The sequence below is a fragment of the Homo sapiens genome, chromosome 11 (assembly GCF_000001405.40).
Source record: "Homo sapiens chromosome 11, GRCh38.p14 Primary Assembly".
NCBI classification, from domain to species: domain Eukaryota; kingdom Metazoa; phylum Chordata; class Mammalia; order Primates; family Hominidae; genus Homo; species Homo sapiens.
The window spans coordinates 33,404,589-33,423,358 of NC_000011.10; the positions used below are offsets into that span (position 1 = coordinate 33,404,589).

The 18,770-nt window shown below is 42.1% G+C and overlaps 1 protein-coding gene across 9 annotated transcripts in view, besides 1 other annotated feature; it reads left to right on the top strand.

Moving 5' to 3' along the window:
• The window catches only part of KIAA1549L (KIAA1549 like), a 297,995-nt gene that overhangs the window by 28,481 nt on the left and 250,744 nt on the right, over nt 1-18,770 (top strand). The gene's annotated exons all lie outside the window — the stretch shown is intronic.
• Nucleotides 7,273-7,442: an enhancer, noted in NCBI's record as "active region_4577". NCBI's record gives its function as "activates an Ori minimal core promoter by ATAC-STARR-seq in GM12878 lymphoblastoid cells {active_cell/tissue: GM12878}" and the evidence as "EXISTENCE:reporter gene assay evidence [ECO:0000049][PMID:35858748]".

The following is an 18,770-nucleotide window of genomic DNA, read 5'->3' on the forward strand; positions in this document are numbered from 1 at the left end:
CATGGAAAAAAATAAAAAGAAAAAGAGATGAAGGTCGTGAATAGACAATACCATAGCAAGATTCAGGTAAAACAAACAAAAACTATATAAGGTGTTTATAATCACAACAATAATGAAAAACAAAATAAAAGTTATTTAAAGCTGGGCACAGTGGCTCACGCCTGTATTCCCAGCACTTTGGGAGGCTGAGGCAGGCGGATCACCTGAGGTCAGGAGTTTGAGACCAGCCTGGCCAACATGGTGAAACCGGTCTCTAATAAAAATACAAAAAATTAGCTGGGCATGGTGGCATGCCTGTAATCCCAGCTACTCGGGAGGCTGAGGCAGGAAACTTGCTTGAACCTGGGAGGTGGAGGTTGCAGTGAGCCAAGATCGCACCACTGCACTCCAGCCTGGGCGACAGAGTGAGACTCTGTCTCAAAAAAAAAAAAAAAAAAGTTATTTCAAAAGATAAGAAAAAAAGTCAGATAAAATAACCCAGAAAATGTTTTATTTTCATTTTGTTATATTGTTTTTGTTTTGGCTTATATGAAACCATTATTCAACACCTGTCTTGGTAATAGGAATGAAGAAAATAGTAGTGAACAGAATAAATATTCTTGCCCTCAGGATGTTCCAATCCAGAAAAGGGGAGTGAGAAATAAAAATAGAGAATCACTAAAGCATTGGTGTAAACAGAATAAATACCATAAATGCATTGCTGCCAAAGAATATAACAGAAAACCAAATTAGGTTTGTGGGAGGGGTTGTGTAGCGAGATAACAAAAAAGACATTACAGAATGACCAAGATTATTTTGAGCTACAAAATTATTAAGCAGTGGTTTTGAGTAACAGAATTAAAAACAGCTGCTGTAATAGACTAACAAAAAAATTCCAGATTCAATATCCTCTAGTAATGTCTTTTATGTTATTTCCCTACACTTTTTTTTTTTTTTTTTAACATAATACACTGCTTCTAAAGAATCAAAAGCTGTCTGGGCGCAGTGGCTAATGCCTGTAATCCCAGCACTTTGGGAGGCCGAGGTGGGTGGATCACAAGGTTGACAGATAGAGAACATCCTGGCCAACATGGTGAAACCCCGTCTCTACTAAAAATACAAAAATTAGCCAGGCGTGGTGGCGGGCACCTGTAGTCCCAGCTACTCAATAGGCTGATGCAGGAGAATCGCTTGAACCCAGGAGGTGGAGGTTGCAGTGAGCTGAGACTGCGCCACTGCACTCCAGCCTGGGCAACAGAGCCAGTCTGTCTCAAAAAAAAAAAAAAAAAAAAAAAAGCAAAAGCTCTACTAGGAATAGTGTTTTATCCATGTTCCAGGTCTTGTTATCCCCATTTTTAGAAGAGGAAGGCTCTATGTTAATGGGCTTGTGGACCTGGTCTACTATAGGAAGGTTAATGGGTTCTCCAAGTAAGGCCATTCATTATTACCCATGTGTATGTATCACTTCCTTGAATGATTCTGGCAGTTGGAGCAAAGCTAACTCATTACTACAACAGTCAAAGAATGAAAAATGGCCACTGTGATGAGCCTCCCTTTTTTACTCTAGTAACACAATTACAATTTGATTATAGATTTTTGTTGTTGTGAATATAACAAAGGCATGTTGCTCCCCCCAAAACTGGCCTACAGAGAAGAGGGAAAAAAATTAATCCAGAATCCCACGGCCCCAACACACCCGCTGTTTGCATTCCTGTTAGGAACCGAGTGTGGCTTTCATTTGCTTGGCTGGCTTGCAGGATGGCTGGGTGGGGAGGGGGTTCCTGCCGGCTGCGACTTATGCTTCACACGTGCACGGGCCATATGGCAACACCAGTGTGCATGTGCAGGGGAGGGGCCGCTGCCTTGACCCCGGGCTTTCCATTGGGTGCCTCTGTTTTCAAATCATCTTTGGTCCGAATCCTATCATCTCCTCTCTTAGGGACAGGTGGATGTAGATGGGGAAGCTGGAACTCAAACTACCCCCTTTGCTTATGTTGTGTTGTAATCCGCGCAGCGGAGCAAAGCTCCCCAGAGTTGGCAGCCCCTGAAATTCAGGGCAGGTCTGACATTTGCTCTCCACTCTGCCCTGCACTCTTCTTTCTTAAGGCCCCCTAGCCCTCCGCTGCCTCAAAGGGATCAGCGCTCACTGCATCTTTCTTCACGAATCTAATTGTAAAGGATCAGGCACCTACCAGGATGCAGTTATACTTTGCTGCTGCTTCGTATTCTTCATTTTTGGGGTAACAGTTTTGTTAACCTTTGCTTTCGCACACCCAGGTGTCGGATGAGGTCTTTTGGCCCCTTAAGACCTACTTAGATTGGCTCCAGCCCTCCTGTTGCCTGCTGCTGGAGGTGTAATGTTCACGATTCCTGTAAATTCCTCAGGCACTTATGTTCTAGTTTCTGTCTTTGAGCTCTTGCTTCACTGAACTAGCTCAAGGTAGGGACTCTTTGTTCCTGTTCTTCATAGGTCTATCTAGGTAGATGTGGAGTTCAGTCCTTTTTCTTTTTTCATTTTTTTTTTTTTTTTTTTTTGAGACGGAGTCTCGCTCTGTCGTCCAGGCTGGAGTGCAGTGGCGTGATCTCGGCTCACTACAAACTCCGCCTCCCGGGTTCACGCCATTCTCCTGCCTCAGCCTCCCGAGTAGCTGGGACTACAGGCGCCTGCCACCACGCCCGGCTAATTTTTTGTATTTTTAGTAGAGACGGCGTTTCACCGTGTTAGCCAGGATGGTCTCTATCTCCTGACCTCGTGATCCGCCCGCCTCGGCAGTCCTTTTTCTTTTTCTTTTTTGAGACAGTCTCACTCTGTCGCTTAGGCTGGAGTGCGGTGGCATGATCTTGGCTCACTGCAACCTCTGCCTCCCGGGTTCAAGTGATTCTCCTGCCTCAGTCTGCAAGCCTGCGAGTAGCTGGGATTACAGGCACGCGCCACCGTGCCTTGCTAATTTTTGTATTTTCAGTAGAGACGGGGTTTCACCGTGTTGGCCAGGCTGGTTTCAAACTTGTGACCTCAAGTGATCTGCCCGCTTTGGCCTCCCAAATTGCTGGGATTATAGGCCTGAGCCACCGTGCCCTGCCCTAATCCTTTTAATTCCTTCAAACCACCCACCTGAACTCACCATTCACAAGTACAGAGAAGACTCTAATGAGGGTTGGGGAATCCTAAGGGTTTGCCTTGCAGTGAAGCAGATGGCTTTACAAGGGAAACCCTGCCTCCTTGTTCTGAAAAGTTCCTGGCCAATTCTAAAAACTTTAAATCCCCCAGCCTTCTGCGCCCGTCTATCCATTTTCTCTCTTCCCTTTCATCCTCAACCCCCACATTCCTCATGAGTTCTCACTCAGAGTTCTTGAGCTTTCTTTAGTCAACTTCCTACTGGGAATGACCCGTTCCTGCAGGGTCTCACCTTCCAAGCCCAAGAAGCTCATCAAGTTGTTTTTTTTTCCCACCTTGTAAACAAGACAGTTTCCTTCTCAAGGGGTGTTAAGATAATAAAAATTTTACCTTGTTGTTTAATTATCCGCTTTCTGGAGGAAAAAACCTCAATCAATTCTACTCTTCTGAAATAAGGAACAAATATTGTGTACAAAACAGAAAGATTGGAAAATGTCTTTTGTAGTACCTTCTTTTCTAAAACATGTAAAACTGAGCTAATACATTCTGGAGCTAGGCAGGTAGCTAACTGGTGCTCTGGGCATCAGTCGGGAATAGAGAACTAAATTCTGAGTTGGGAGTGTTGCTGGGCAGGGGACTTCGTCACATAGCATCTGCGTGATCTTGGTTTTGGGCCTATCATGTGGTGTTTCCCCATCAGCAAAATTGGATTCAGTGATATCTAATATCTAATATCTTCCAAGTCTAATATTTTATATGGCGCTCTCCATAAGTTAGAGATATATATATACATACTCTGTATATGTGTATATATATATATATATATATACACATGTATATATGTATACAGAAATTTTAGATCTTCCCAAACCTTTAGGAAAGCTTCCTACACACAGATGCCTCATGTGAGCAAGTTTTTTTGGCACCTCTCTGTCCCAGTCCCACATGTCCAAAGTGATATAGACTTTCCTTGGTTAGGGAGTTGGTTGTCTCATTTCTGACATCATCTTTAAGATTAAGTGTTCTACGGATCACATGAGGCCCGGAGTCTGAGACCAGCCTGGCCAACATGGTGAAACCCCATCACTACTAAAAATACAAAAAAAAAAAAAAAAAAATTAGCCGGACATAGTGGCGCATGCCTGTAATCCCAGCTACTCGGGAGGGCGAGGCAGGTGAATCACTTGAATCCAGGAGGCAAAGGCTGCAGTGAGCCAAGATTTTGCCACTGCACTCCGGCCTGGGTGACAGAGCGCGACTCCATCTCAAAAAAAAAAAAAAAAAAAAAATTAGGTATCCTTAAACTGCACTTGAAAAAAAGTCAGCAACTGCTTGTGTGGGGAAATATTCCTCCTTCAGAACAACACAATAGTCAGAGGTTAGAAACGGTGTGAATGATGCTAGAGGGAGGGGGGACAGGTATCATAGCATCTGTGTGCATTTGTTTTTTTTCTTTTTTTGGAAGCGTTTACAAAGTCTTTGGAAAAAGTCTCAAAACTGGGCCTTGGTCCCTAAAACCAAATACTGTCAACACTGACACTGTGAAACCCCAGTGTTTTTGAGGTCCTAGTATACAAAAGTACTGGATTTGATGGCTTCACAAAATTCTTCATCAGATCTTAGAAGGGTGATGGTTCATAACTTACTGTTCTCTAAAGGACCTTTTCTAGAAAACAATAACAGATGACATTTGCTATCCTGAATATTTCTGAGTTCTTGTTTTTCTTGCTGGTTTTTATAAAGAACAAAGGAGGTAGCGTTTCTTCCAAGATATTTCCCTCCTCCTTTGTGCTTCAGTGACATTTTTGCTAATCTACTAATTTCATTAAGGGTAGGCTTTAATGTCACACACTGTGGATTGTGACTTTCCCCAGAATCAAGTAAGAAGGTGACAGGAAATCAGTGAAGATCAGTTGCTAAATCAAGGTCATTCTGCTTACTTTTTCCTTTCTCTTCTCACTCATTTATTCTTTTTCTTTGGAAAACACCCTTTTGAATGACTTCATTTGATCATTATCATCCATCCCCTTTCTCAATTTAAAATGAAAACCCTACAGCTTGCTTTTCTTATGTGTTCTCACCTCTTTTTTTTTTTTTTTTTTCCTGCCTGTACTTTTATTTCCATGATGGTTTTCTCTAGGTCCTCAGGGCATTTTGAGATGAGATTTGGAAGGAAAACTCAATACAATATAAAGTTACCTTATACCCATCTCAGAGTGGGACAAATACTTAAAACAGTCAGAAAAATCCACAAGGGAGTCTGGGCTAGTGGGGGCCACAAAGAACATCTTGTTTTTTTTCTGACGTTTCTCTGTGTCTGTTATCACTGCCTTACTTTCTTTTATTTTTCTTTGTTCATGGCTGTCTGCTGTATTTTTTTTTCTTTTTACAAACATGCAGAATGTTAGATTTGGAGTGTGGACCATGGGAATCACTGAGACCAAACCCTTCAATTTTTGGAGAAGAAAAGCAAGTGGGCTAGAGAAGTTACCATTAAAGAGGCAGTAGACTGTAACAGAGAGATCTATCACAGGCTTTGGAATTGCAAAAGGGTGGGTGCAAATCCTAGCTCAGTCACCTGTTAGCCAGGTGCTCCTGGGCAACTCTCTTAACTGCATTGTTAGTGTAGACCGCATTTGTAAGTGGGAATGGTAATGCATTCCTCCTGGAGCTGTTGTGAGGGTTAAATGAGATAATGGATGTCGTGTTCCTCTTGTGTCTAGGCAGCGCCTAGAAAACCACTAAAAAAGAGGTAGCTGTTGCCACAAGCTAGTTAGAAGTAGTACCTAGATTAGTTCTTATAACACATTTCTTACTCCAGCAGACATTACTAACCATCTTGGTTCTGAACCACCTGCCTCAGTCCATCTCATACTTTGCTTTCCAACATTTTCAGTCTTCATGGCTTTTAACCTTGTGGCTTTTTCCTTATGACCTCATCTCACCCACTGGAAGTAAAACTGCACTTTATATTCTACTGGATTCCCTGTAGACCCATGCATGGAACACGGATGGGCATAGTGGGTGGGTAGCATTTGACTTTGTCCTTGAAATAGATGTAGGATTTGGATCTATGGAGAAGGGAGAATGGAATTCTGGGAAGAGGGAACAGCATGAGCAAAACTAAAAGAAGGGATTTGCAAGATGTGTTTGGGGAACGGTGAATTGTTTGGAGAGAGCTAAGGCATTTGGAAGCCAGGAGGAAGACAGTTTCAAGAAGGCAGGACCAGCCTGCTCTGGGAAATACTGCAAAGAGGTACAAGTGAGTAATGAGGAAAAGTGACTGGATTTGGCCACACAAGGACCAGTTTAGGGGAGTGGGCTTTGGAAGGACCAGTTTAGGGGAGTGGAGCAGGCACACACTGGGTTGTAAGGGCTTCCCAGTGGAGTGAGTGATAGGGAAGTGCAGTCTGCTAGTCTAGACCAGGTGTTCCCAAATGCTGGTCCACAGGTTGTTTATCCTACTTTGCCAGAGGTGAAACGAGGAACACAAAGCTAGTATAGGGTGTTTTTCATAAGCCGAATTTTATTTATTTATAATGACCACCCTCTAATCTGAGATGATAGCCTTACTTTATTGGTTTTGAAATATCTCTTTTATGAAGTGATTGTTGTTCTCAATCCTGGCTGCACATGAGACCCACTTGGAGCACTTTTAGAAATCATGGCATCCTGACTCCACCTGAGACAACTGAAGCTGATCCCTGGGGCAGCCTGCTCCTGCTGCAGGTCCAGAACTCCACAGGTGATTGTCATGCATCCAGATTGCATACCTCTCGGCTAGTGGATGTTAGGGTTTTTGAGGCGGTGGTGGTTATTTTAATTTCTAAAATGACCTTGCTTGGCAAAATTAAAAGTTGGAAACTCTTGGGTCATTGCCCAACCTTATTTGTTTGTTTGTTTTGTTCAGCTTTTCGTTTTTGTTTTGCTGATTTGTGAAATTCAAATGGCAGGGACCCAGCTGTAGGTAGCTTTTTAAATGACGGAGGCAAGTTTGATGTAGTCTTTCTTTGAAAGAGGGTTAGCTCTCCTAGTGCTTTCCAGCTATCGTGGAGTGTATTTACAGTTTGAGGAACATTGTGTTTGTATGAAGTAAGGCTTAGCTGTGTTGTCAGGCACAGTTCTTATTTCAAGTATCACTGAGAATTATTAAGAGACCAAGTTGGAGACTCAGGTTCGATGGATGTAAAGCACACAGGACATCCTCCATGTGAGTCTTCTCTTGCCTCCCTTGTGGAGGGCTCTTCTTGTGGTTCAGCAGTGCTTTCCATTCTAGCCGCTCACAGGATGTCTTGTACTTTCTGACCTTGAAGGTGAAACATCTTTCTACTGACAATTGCAGGTCTGAAATGTAGCGTCGGATCAGTGAAACATTCTCATTTCTGTTTTGTGGTGCTTCTAGTTATTTTAGTGTTTAAAGGTCAGAGTAGGAAGCATCTTAAATGCAAAGCATTTAATTTCCATTAGAGTTAAAGGATTCTGAGTCTGTGTTATAGTCAATAAAAACGGTGATGCTTAAATCAGCTAATGCTCTATTTCTTACATGAATATTTTATATGAACTACAAAGGAAGAAAAATCTATATGTTTATCCAACATTATGTCCAGTGGCTATTGGAAACTTGTCTTCTTGGGTATTATATGAATGACTCCTGTTGTATCTATTCAAGTTGTAAAATAATTACATGTATTGTTCTTGGGAGCTGTTTTGCAGACTTAAGTTTATGGCTAAATCTTGCTAATAGAGGCATTCCCTGAATTACTAACACCCTTACAGACTTGCTATAAATAAGACTGTGTGGGCTGGAGTATGCTACCATGAGGCAAGAAATGGTGTTTCTGGGTGCTGCTCTGGAACTAGTATTGAGGTACACAGTGATAGCATAGTAGAGTCTCTTAGCTAATGTACCACTGCTTAACCAGCTGGCTGCATTAATTAGTGCTGGTCATTTGCTCTATGACTGATGGCAGGCTGATCACCCATGATTAGAAAACGGATAGCTTCTCCCACTGGGTGAGGATCAGTTGTGTTTATTCCTAAATGTGCTGGTGTCTGTTTGACTTGTTATTGTGATTTCTTAATCTGTTGAAGTATTATGTAAACGGATTAAATATTAGTACAGACATTTACGCATCATAATCTATGGGATAGATGCTATTTTTCTCTTCTTTTTAGAAACAAGGAAACTGAGATATAGAGAGGTTAAATAACTTGCCTGAGCTAGTAAGTGGCAGTGACAGGGTTTGGACCCAGGAAGTCTGATTCCAGCTATAGTCCTAATGAATATACTGCACTTTCAGGGTAATAAATACATGATCTTGGTGGATTTGAAGCTTTTTGAAGAGGGAATATGAATAAAATTTTCCAAAGCCAGGTCTGGGGAACATGAATCCCATGAGATCCTGTACTTAAAAGCATTTTACTTTCAGATGTTTTAGGGAAATGCTGCATCAGATACCTGCTTCCTGAGATAAACCATTCACCCTCATTTTCTAAAGTTTGAGAAGTTGGGCAGCACAGAAACTAGCTTTGCTTTGTTTACCCTAGAACTTCCCAAACTTATTTGAACACAGATTTTTTTTTTTTTTTAAATCAAGAATACCTCTTAAGGCTGGGCGTGGTGGCATGTACCTACAATCCCAGCTACTTAGGAGGCCAAGGTGTGAGGATTGTTTGAGCCAGGAGTTCAAAGCTGCAGTGAGCTGTGATCATGCCACTGCGCGCCAGCTGGGGAGACAGAGTGAGACCCTGTCTTTAAAAAAAAAAAAAAAAGCAATACGTCTTAACATTCTTCAGAGTGAGTGGCCTATGAAGCATGGTTTTTGTTGGGTTTAGAGTAATTAACTCAAGATGTGTCCCCCTTAACAATCCTAAGTTAGGATTGTTATGCTACCACGATATCTCAATGTTTAAAACTTATGTTGACTTTGGTCTGTTTTATTTTTAATTATAGTACAGTCTATGTAATTAATTATCTCTACTTATTTTTTGGATAAATTATTATTTGTTCTTATGAACAGAAAAGACATTGTTTTAGGCATGGAGGAACAAAGAAAGTGACAATTATAATGAAAATCTTAACATGTTAAGAGGTCTGCATGAACTGCTGAAGTGGACTTCTATAGCACACCGAGGTCCAGTGCTGCATCCGTCTCTGCATACCTGTCCTTTTAGACTGTCTTATGGAGGGTGAGAACACCTGAATCTGTCTAGGGTCTCTGGTGAAGGTGTTCACATTCAGAAAAAGAAGATTAGAGCAGGGATCTGACAAAGGATTTGTGTCTGAGGATGTGTAAGAATTGGAATCTCCAGGACCTAGATGTTTATGGAAACACAGAATACATTTCTTGGAAGTCTCCTGGGAAACTCTGAGATAGCCATTGTCAAAGCATCTGTGACATCATTTCTTCATTCAGTAAACCTGCTGCCTAGTATTTTTATTAACTGCTACTTCTAATTAGTACACAAGCCTAGAAGTCTATTAAAATTATAGTTTGTAGTTATGAAGATCATTATAAATCAGTCCTGCAACATCCCTAAGTGCCTTCAGAATCATACGAAAATTAAGCTATGTGCAGTATGGATCTAGCACGAAGTATATAATATCGTAATTTATGAAGTGAATATTCCATGGATGATTAGATAATCTTATAAAAGGACTTTTAAAGATGTGATGCATAGTATCTATTACCAGCTTGTAATACAGTTCACTTAACCTTCTTTCTAGTGATGGATTTATAGGTGACTTCTGTTTTCCCCTGCCATAAACATGTGATGGATGTCTTTCATATAAATCATTGGTTACATCTTTGATTATTTCTTTGAATAAATTCCTGGAATAGAGGTACTGGATCAAACGGAGTGCACATTTTTAAGGCGATTGGCACACTTTATCAAATTATCTTCCGTTAAGTATATATGGGCAATGTAGCAGGGAACATATTCCTTCACACCCTTGCAATGTTGGGTATTGGTATTAAAAAGCAAAACAACAACAAGCGACCTTTCCCAATTTGGTAGTTGAAAAGGGTATTGTATTATTGTTTTAATGTACATTACTTTGATTACTAGTGGAGAGGTAATCGAATAAATAATGTGTTTTTATCATGTGTTTATTAGCTATTTGTGAGGAGAGAGAGTGTGTGAGTGAGTGTGTGTGAGAGAGAGAGAGACCTATTCATGTCCTTTCCCCATTTTCCTGTTAATATACTATATCGTTTTGATGTCAGGACCTCTTTATAGAGCCATAATACTGTCTTTATCATATGTTGCAGATATTTTTTCCCTGTGAAAAGGCAATTTGTCATTTGCGTTTTAATTTTTATAGTGTTTTTGGATGTCTGACATTTAATGTTGCCAAATCAATGACTCTTCCTTGGTGATTTCTTTCCTCTGTGCATTATTGGTAAAACTGGTGAAATACTAGATAAGCCAAGTCTACCTTTCCCTGCTTCTTGCTCCAGTTCAGAAAGAGAAGTGAAGTTGTGTTTGGCTAGTTCAGGGCGTTAGACATTTCATATTCAATCATTCATTACTTTATTCATTCCAAATATTGATCTAGTGCCCACCATGTTTTGGGCACGGTATTTGACAGTGGATTGCATAAGGTGCAACTGAGTTTCATGAATATGGTGCCTATATGTTATGGATTTTCAGAGTCCTTAATATTCCATCCCATTGTCAGTCTTAGGGATCAGGCTACCAGTTCTGAATTTGGCTTCAGAATGTGTCGCTGTACTGTCCCTGGGGAACATGCTCATTGGGGATCCTGCCTCTACTTGGACCAGCAAACAAATGTGTCACCCAGGCCTGAAGTTGAAAGTGGGGGCCAAGGTCCTGTTGCAGTGGAAGGCGTGAACTCAAACACTGCTCCTTCTGGTTCTGAGAGGAAGCAGCATCTGTTTAGGATACCCGAGTGGAACAGCCAAGCCTGTGTCCTCTTCTTGGTCTGTACTGCGCAGGTGGATACGGTCATTTTACCTTCCTAAGTAAGCTACATGGCAAGTCAGAGCCCAAGATGGGACCCTTATATCCTTGAGCTTTTTTCCTTTATATTGTTGCCATGAGAGAGAGCCAAAATGAAGAAGCCAGCAAACACTGATGACTTATCAGCATTTATTTTTATTTATTTATTTTTTTGAGACGGAGTTTCACTCTTGTTGCCTAGGTTGGAGTGCAGTGGTGTGATCTCGGCTCACTGGAGTGCAGTGGCGTGATCTCGGTTCACTGCAACCTCTGCCTCCTGGATTCAAGCGGACTTATCAGTATTTAAAAGACCAGGGATGTCAAGGCTGCAGTGGGATGTAATCACACCACTGCACTGCAGGCTGGGTGACAGAATGAGACCCTGTCATAAACTAATCAACCAACCAACCAACCAATAAAAAGGCTCTTTTCAAACAGCAGGCAGCCCCAGACACCATAGGGGGAGGACTGTCCTGAGGCAGGTGACCACCCCTGAGTTACGCGTCCTGAAAACCCTCCATGTGATGTGTCACCGCCTTCTTGGGCCACAGGACTCCTGAAGATAACGCTCATTGGTAACTGTTAGAGTTCCATATGGGAGTATTTATTGTTCCTTGGATTTGGTTTCAGACCTTCCTCAGGGCCAAGAAATGAATTTTTAATTATTACACTGTTGTAATTGGTCAGCTGTTCCATTCCCGAACAGCTCTTCTTTGAGATTCTGTAGATTTTGTAGTTTTCTTCCCTAGTAAATCTTTATGTAGTCGGCTCTTCATATCTGCAGATCCAACCAACTTGCAGCTCAAAAATGTTTGAAAAAAAAAACCAACACAACAATAAAAATAATGCAAATTAGAAAACAATACAGGATAACAGCTATTTACATAGCATTTACATTTCATTAGGTATTATAAATAATGTAGATATGATTTAAACCATATGGGAGGATGTGTGTAGGTTATATGCAAATACTACACCATTTTATATAAGGGACTTGAGCATCTGTGGACTTCGGTATCCTTAGGGGCCCTGGAACCAATTCTCTTTGGATTGTAAGGGACATCCGTGATTCAAAACAAACAAGGGATGGTTATTTAGTAATAGTCACTTTATGGAGAATGAAATTAAAGCCAACTAACTCTTACCAGCACATGCCTATGGCTGGTAGGACTCCGTGATTTTCAGTATATTTTGGTTTTACCTTCAGCTGGATGCCAGCTGGATTATGAGGCAATATAAATTCAGAGCCTTCTATTCAGAAAACTCATTCATCTGCTCATCCTGCACACACCTGTAATTTTATCAGGTGACATTAGAGGGGTCACAGACTCAAAGAGAATGCTCTGTAACTTGCTCCTCAAGAGAACTTTCTGCATTTGATGGAAATGTTCTATCTGTGTTGTCCAATACAGAAGCCACCAGCCACATGTGGCTATTCAGCTCTTGAAATGTGGTTAATGCAACTGAGAAATTAAATTTTAAATTTTGTTCAATCTTTATTAATTTAAATTTAAATAGCCATATGTGGCTGGCACATACAACATCGGACAATACAGATCTGTAAAGTACTACATTCACGTTTTTCAAACTTTCTGATCGTAGTTCAGTAAAAGAAGCAGATTTTATGTGGCACTGCCGCACAGGCACACAGCATGCGCATGACACCCCCCACCCTGCCTCCCACCCAGTATCATCCAAGTTTCACCAAATAGTACTTAGCCTCACTGTAGGCGCTGCACACTGGTATTTTCTGTTTTATTCTGTTCTATTTCATTTTAAAGGTGCTGGTTATCACCTACTAAATTGATTTCATGACTCACGAGTGGGTTATGATCCCCAGCTTGAAGAATAATTGCCTTGCATGACCTGCCCCCGACTTTCAGCCATGTCTTTTATTCCATCCACTGTCTCTGCATCTGGCCTCCTTGCAGGGGCTTTGCCATTGCTGTTACCTCTGCCTGGTGATGCTTTTCCCTCCAACATCTCATGGCTGCATTTCTCACATCCTCGGGTTTCTGCTCAAATGTTCACTAGAGATTTCCTCTGTAACCATCCTACTCTAGGGAGCTCCCCATCCCTCTTTTCCTGCTTTGATTTTCTTTTCCTTCCTTCCTTCTGTCCTTCTGTCGTTTTGTTTTTTGTTTCTTTTCTACACAGTTTCAGTCTGTCGCCCAGGCTGGAGTGCAGTGACACAATCTCAGCTCACTGCAACCTTCGCCTCTTGGGTTCCAGCGATTCTTGTGCCTCAGCCTCCTGAGTAGCTGGTATTACAGGTGCCCACCACCACGCCCAGCTAATTTTTTATATTTTTAGTAGAGACAGGGTTTTGCCATGTTGGCCAGGCTAGTCTCAAACTCCTGACCTCAAGTGATCCGTCCACCTCAGCCTCCCAAAGTGCTGGGATTACAGGCGTGAGCCACCACACCTGGTTCCTATCCCTCTTTTTCTGCTTTGGTTTTCTTTATAACAATATTCGCTATAGGTCATATATATTGTGTTTATTGTTTGCTTTCTCAACTAGAATATCAGACCAATGAGGGCAGGGTCTTAATTTTGTTGGCTGGTATGACCTGGCACCTAGAATAGGCTTTCATAAATATTAGTTGAATAAATGAACAGACACCGCCTGATGTCTTTACACAGATTAATTACTCACTGTGGTTCATATGCTGAGAGGCCTGTGGAATCTTTCACTTGTTTCTCTGGAGACATTGAATTAATACCAGAGGCCTGGCATGGGGTCTGGGCACTAGGAGGTAGGTATGCTAGAGGAGATGGCAGACAAGGCCCTGTCCTCTTGGAAAGTTTAATCGCCTTTGGGGCTCTGCTGTGTCTGGGTCTGTGTGAAGCAGGTTCACTGCACACTGGTCACCACTGAGTCTGAATCCAGTGAGATAGAACACCCCAACGTAACAACCTCGCCTCGTAACAAACAAGTTTCATGAGTTGGATTTATTCCTTACATATAGGCAGCGAGGGACCACAGGAGCCTAGGATTCATTGCAAACCATTCTTCTGTAGTTCAGGAAAGTTACCTGGGGTGGATGGAGGCTTGTTTGTGTATAACCCACTTGGATGGCAGCTGAGGGACCCCAGAAAGCAGCCTGACCAAGATTTTATATCCTAGTGCAATGTGCCTTGCTGGGCTAAAGCATTGAAGGACATCCTGTTTCTAGGGGGAGCTGGAAAAGAGCCTGGGCTGTTCTGGCCCTTTATGTCAGTATGTTGCATTCCTAGCTTTTTTTTTTTTTTGGGTGGGGTGGGGTGTTTGGGATAGGGTCTGGCTCTGTCACCCAGGCTGGAATGTCGTGGTGTGATCTTGGCTCACTGCAACTCTGCCTCAGCCCCCTGAGTAGCTGGGACCACAGGCACTTGCCACTGTGCCTGGCTAATTTTTGTATTTTTAGTAGAGACAGGGTTTCATTGTGTTGGCCAGGCTGGTCTCGAACTCCTGACCTCAAGTAATTCACCTGCCTCAGCTTCCCAAAGTGCTGGGATTACAGGCATGAGCCACCATGCCCCGCCTCCCTACATTTCTTTATGGTTTTCCTTTACATTTTCCTCTCAACTTAGAAATAAAATGGCTAACCAAAAAAATGATTTTCTCTTTGGTGTTGAGTGGCAAGCTTTATGAGAATTGAGTAATGAGCCTGGTGGATAGCTCTCTAATTATAATGATACCTTGACATTTTTATCAGCCAATCTTTATACTTGATGGTTTCTGCTTACACTATGGATATGTTGGTGGTTCTTGGATCCATTTTGTAGGCACAATGTATTTCTATTCTTGGCCTGTTTTCCCTCGTCTTTTCCTTATAGTCAGATTTATTACTCTTTGGGATTTCCCCCCGTCCTTCATCAGAATAGTGCTATCTTTTTTTCTCTTTTTTTGAGTGTATGCATTAAATATAATATGGGTCGAGTACAGTGGCTCACACCTGTAATCCCAGCACTTTGGGAGGCCGAGGTGGGCGGATCACTTGAGGTCAGGAGTTTGAGACCAGCCTGGTCAACATAGTGAAACCCCATCTCCACTAAAAAATACAAAAATTAGCTGGGCATGGTGGCACACGCTTGTAACCCTAGCTACTCGGGAGGCTGAGGTGGGAGAATCGTTTGAACCCAGGAAGCGGAGGTTGCAGTGAGCCAAGATCATGCCACTACACTCCAGCCTGGGCAACAGAGCAAGACTGTCTTTAAAAAAAATGTTATACATACATACATACATACATACATACATACATACATACATACATACATATATATATATGAATAGCTTTATTTTTTTCAGCAGGAAGTGTTCAAAGAGACCGTATTATAATATTAGGCTTCCTTGTAATAAACAGTGGCACTGGCCTAATAAGTCCAGAACATCTGAGCCATCTCTTTAGATTATATTGTACACTGGAGCTTTTAGCTGCATAAATTTTACAGTATATCATCTGACACTATTTGTGGTAAATATCCCCTAGTGATTAACTCATCATTTTATGATCTTGTGCACAGAAGGAGCATTGGCAAAGCTACTTCCCACACATCGAACTGAAATGTTAAGAATCTTGGTTTGTATCTCAAAGTTTTTTTTTTGTTTTTTTTTTTTTTTTGAGACAGGATCTTACTCTGTTGCCCAGGCTGGAGTGGCACTATCCTAGCTCGCTGCAACCTCGACCTCTCAGGCTCAAGCAACCCTCCCACCTCAGCTTCTAGAGTAGCTGGGACTACAGGCACAGTTCACCATGCTTGGATTATTTTTATTTTTTGCAGAGACAAGGGCTCACCATATTGTTCAGGCTGGTCTTGAACTCCTGGGTCCAAGTGATCCACCCACCTTGGCCTCCCAAAGTGTTAGGATTACAGGCGTGAGCCACTGTGCCCAGCCAGAACTATTTTATTAATTTTAGTTAAGCTGTTCTGAAGAAGTTGTATGGATTTTCATAAAACAGCCTTATATAAGAACTACCGTTTTAGGGAGAAGTGAAGAGAGTGAGGACTGAACCACCCAGCAGGGAAGTTCAGAGAATGGGCCCTGAAGTCAAAGAGAAGCTGAATGGCCATGGTTAATAAATATTTACAGCTAAGTCTGGACTGCAACTCTGCAGTTTTGTTAGCATAAACGTTTCATAACCACGAAATATATGATGAGCAGACAATGGGTGTGGTATACAGCAAGATGAAACCTCGATTCCCACCTGTTAGGGATGTACTGTCTGCAATCATCACATTTTTTCATTGAGTTAATGCAGTGGTCCCAGCTGGGATTTTGACTATTCTCGATGGATGGAACCCATGGGAGGGTGACAAGGGTCCCTCCGGCCCTGAGGAATGCCTATTGATTTGCAGCCTCAAATGAAACTAAAGCTAATAAGTTTATGTTTTAAATAATGGATAGTTAGCTCTGCAAACAAATGAACTGGATCCTCCCACCTGGAAAAGTCTCTCTGGAGGTACAAGGAGAGTGCTTGGGGAAGTGCATTAATTCCCTCCACTGTCATCACAGGCACAGAAAGCCCTGCTTCACTGCTCTTCTCACTCAGGGGATGGAGGGGAAGATTGCACTGATGCAAGTATTGACTCAGAGGCTAATTAGAAGAAAGGGGGATGGGTGGGTGGGGGTGGGAAGTGTGTGCACTGGGGCTGTAGCAGTAGATTATGGGGTGGGGGTGAGCAGATCGGAGAGGAAAGCTCCCCTGGTGGGAAGATGGTGTCCCATGACAGGAGCTTTTAGATTTCTAGAGCCATGCAATTTCTTGCTACCCACAGTGTGGGCCGTAGGCCAGCCGCATAGCATCACTACCTGAGAGCTTGTTAGAAATGCAGAATCCTAGGCCCTGCTTCAGAACTTACAGATGCGGACCTGCATTTTAACAAGATCTCCAGGTGATTTGTGTGCATGTTAAAGTTTGAGAAGTACTGACTTAACACTTTCCTTTTAATACATTTACAGAACCTTGGTCAAACATTGAATGTTAGTGATTTATAAAGCAGATGAATAAGTAATCCAAATATATACTGGTTTAAGTCTGTTCTCCATGTTTTGAGGAAGGAAGGGCTGAATAACAATAACATCAATAATAATGCAGATTTCCTGGGGATGGAGTTGGTGGGAGTTTTAATAGAATTTTGGCCATCATACATCAGTACCAGTGTGAACTCAGAGTGGTGCTTCTCAAACACGTGTAGGCATCACAATTACTGGAGGGTTTGTTAAAACACAGATTGCTGGATCCCCTCATGGCTCCCCTGCTACCAAGAGTTGATTGAGTGGATTTGAGGTGGGGTTTGAGAATTTGCATTTCCTAACAAGTTTCCAGATGCTGCTGCTGCTATTGGTCTGGGGACCGTACTTTGAGAATCACCCTCCTCAAGTATAATTCTCATCATGGCAATTGCATGACACTTGTTTGTGCTATCCCTCCCCCATGAAGTCCATGTCCTATAGCCAAGCTTGGCCTCCTCTCCTGCCAGGCCTCTCTCCATGCCCCTTTACTACTGATTCTGCAAATGTCATCCAAGATCCGGGTATACCTGTGGATGCCCAGGATCCACACTTTCGATCTCTTGAATTGGAATCCCTGGGAGTGGGGCACAGGATAGTTCATAAGCATCCCAAGGTGACTCCAAGGCACACATGTGATAAAACAACCACTGCCCTGTGTATTCCTTCCCCAATACATTGTATTCTTAGTTTCTAGGGCATGTCTTGTACTTTCTTTCCCCTTTGTCACTTTTCTTGATCCACTGCTGCACCAGGAGTGCTCCCTCACACTTACTCCCCTGCTAGAAATCTTCTGTCCTTCTAGGTCTTCCTCAGAAGCTACTTCCTCCTTGAGACTCTCCTTAGCTGAATGGACTCCCTCCCTTCCCTCCCTCCCCTCCCTTCCCCCTTTCCCCCCTCCCCCCTTCCCCCCCTCCTCTCCCTCCCTCCCTCCTTCCTTCCTTCCCTCCTTTCTTTCCTTCTTCCTTTCTTCTTAGAGATTGTGTTTTTTCTTTTAAAAATGAGATGGCAGTCCTTATATTTTGATCAACTGTAAGATGCCTTTTTCACCCCTCCCTATGCTCACTCCTCTTTCTGAGTTGAATTTACAATATATGGCATGTATACAATAGATAATGAGGTATAGTCAGTGGATGTTGCCATGAAAAAGAAAAAAAAGGAAGGCTTATGACTTTTTAAAGTTTTTAAGTGTTAAAAACTCAATGGCGTATCACACAAAATGGCACTGCCCTTATGGCTGTTGTGTATGTGATCATAGCCCCTACCAATTGTATAGGTTTCTGGATGGCTGAGCCTGTCTTAAATCCATCAATTTGGTTCCCCCTGTACCTGGCCTATATTAAGTACACAAGAAGTGTTAGTTGAGTGATGTAAATGCGATTGATTTATCTGTGTGTGGTGCTGAAACAATTTCTTTGCTGGTTTGGCCTTTTATTACATGTGAAAATATGCGAGGACTTCAGAAATTTCATGGGAAATGTGTATATAAAAAACTATGCATACATTTCAACTTTTTTGCACAAAAATAAACTCATACTAACTTGTTGTAACATGTTTCAATAGGATCTAGTTTGAGACACTAAAAGGGTTAGGACATCAATTTGAAAAAAGCCCCTATCAGAGCCACATGAATTCTGCTAAAATTGAGGCAAGAACACACATCAGATTTATGGTAAAGCTTGGGTGGAGGGGTGGTGAAATCATTTATATTTTATG